This window comes from Homo sapiens, chromosome 16 (genome assembly GCF_000001405.40).
Source record: "Homo sapiens chromosome 16, GRCh38.p14 Primary Assembly".
NCBI classification, from domain to species: Eukaryota; Metazoa; Chordata; class Mammalia; order Primates; family Hominidae; genus Homo; species Homo sapiens.
Genome location: NC_000016.10, coordinates 62,403,173 through 62,405,444, shown reverse-complemented (window position 1 = coordinate 62,405,444; position 2,272 = coordinate 62,403,173). Strand labels below are relative to the sequence as shown.

The 2,272-nt window shown below is 35.2% G+C and overlaps 1 non-coding gene across 1 annotated transcript; it reads right to left on the bottom strand.

Moving 5' to 3' along the window:
• Window positions 1-1,090: 1,090 nt before the first annotated feature.
• LOC124903803 (small nucleolar RNA U13) lies at window positions 1,091-1,194 on the bottom strand. The gene has a single exon (XR_007065248.1). It is a non-coding gene; the product is annotated as a small nucleolar RNA U13 (small nucleolar RNA).
• Between the last annotated feature and the right edge of the window lie 1,078 nt (window positions 1,195-2,272).

The following is a 2,272-nucleotide window of genomic DNA, read 5'->3' as shown; positions in this document are numbered from 1 at the left end:
ACTTTGAATGATGCAGAGGCCAAGACAGATCAGCATGAGAAAGGGAGGTGGTGGGAAAAGAATCAACATTTTAAAGGGTAGAGACTGTGTTTCTATTTTCCTCTAGCTTTTCTCATTCAAATCTCATTTTTCAAGATCTTCCTTTCTATTCATCTTCTGTCCTCTATTCAGTGTTTTTCCCTCTTGATGTCTCCCAGGCTACCACCTGCTGTCCTTGTTTCTCTACATATCATTTTTCACCATCCAGTCTTTTATTTCTTTTCCAGTTATTGCCTCAAGCCAATTTCCCAAATTGGATCTAGGGGCCTAGTTTCTCAACATCTCACTTGGGAGTGTCCAGGCAGGGGCCCAAGCTGGAGGCAGCCAGGAGTGAGGGGCGTGGGCAGGAACTGTATACCTGCTTCAGTTCAATGCTTCTTGGATGCAAGTAGCCCCAGGGGCTGCAGGGAGGGTCCTTGGAGAGAGTTTCACTGTGCCAGTTTTAAATGCTGCCTAGGCCCTGGTGTTTTGGTCCCTCATACAATGACTGCAGACCCTGACACAGTTCCAAATATACTGAGTTGAATGAATACAATGTCAAAGGAAGAAGCAGCTGCTTTAGAAAAGGCATCGTGGCCTTGATGCCTGTCTCCAACTGTGTGTAAACACTTACCTTCCTAGGTGATATTCCAAAACTCAGTCCATATTGTAAACGTCTGAGGTACAAGAATATATTTTTTAAGGCCCTTTAAGGTATTATTTAAATTTTTAGTAGAGTTTCATTTATTTTTAATAATTATTTTTATATTGCAAGTAGAAATGATTTTGCAATTATGGTAGAGTATTAGTGTCTAATGCTGTCAGAACAAAATATCACAGACTGGATGGTTTAAACAATAGAAATGTATTTTCTTTAAATACATTTAGAGGCACCCTCTGTATGTGCCTGCATCTAAGTTTTCTCTTATAAGTACACCAGTCATATTGGATTAGGGGCCACCTTAATGTCTTCATTTTAACTTGATTATTTCAATGAAGACCCTATCTCCAGACAGTCATATTCTGAGGAAATGGGTGTTAGGATTTCAACATCTGATATGTATATAGAAAATGTCAGACAGGTAATGTGCCAACATTGTAATAACGTTAGTGAGAGGCATGTCTCACATATGAGTGTTGAAACACAATCATCATGTTTATGTACAATAGGAAGATTACGTATTAATTTTTTGAGGGGGACACAATTCATTCCATAACAGGTAGTAGTATAAAATTTCATTTAAAAACACTTAAATAAACATTTTAGCTAAAAATTATTAAATAAACATTTTAGCTAAAAATTATTAAGTAAATAATAAGTATTTGTAAAGCACTAAATAAGGATGAACTCTCCTCTAATATTTCAAAAATTATGTCACGAATGCAGTAGAATATAACTAATGAAAGTTTGGAACATGCAGATTCAGTGAAATTTCACCTTTGAAGTCAATTTAGCGTCTAAAATAGTACGTGACACTCAATAGTTGTTAAATAAATAAAGAAATCTCTTAGGGTGGGGTGAGAAGAAAATAGTGAGAAGAATGGTGAAATTAGAAAGAAGTGTTCCTAAGCAACCAGATAGAAAAAGTCAACTGCAACCAACATCCCCCAACTCACGATGTGGAGGAAATATATCATGTGCTCATTTGCTGTAAATCCCCTTTACCAATATAGATGTTAGCAAAAAATGTATTTTAAAAAGATGTGTTTCTTGTCTTTGAAAGCTTTCCAATCTAGTAGAAGAGAAATAGGCTCAAGTAGAGGTCTATACAGGCTACTTAAATATTTATCTATTAAAATGTAAGATCTTCCCCTCCCAGAGACAGAGCCATTTCGTGTGATTATTGTCTGTTTTAAACATATGATCAAAGATTTCCCTGCCTTGGTGAACTGCCTCTTACTTCCCTTTGTCTCTTATGCTTCTTCCTCATGTAACTAGAGATTCCACCTCACATCTTCATTCTTATCCTGCCACTAAGCTTGGGCTCCATAAAAACATATTTCTTATTGCTTCTTTGTAATTTATGCTCAACTAATATTCTCTCTCATATATGTCATATATATGATAGGATATATCATGTATATGATTCACTTCTCAGTTTAACTGTTTCTCAAATTTTATCAGTATCTGTAAGTTTAGACAAATTTGGAATCTCTCACTTTCTATTTCCAAATAATCTAAATAATCAGCAATTCAATGGAGAGAGTTTAATAATGCAGTATATAACTAAATAAATATATTATAAAGAAAATA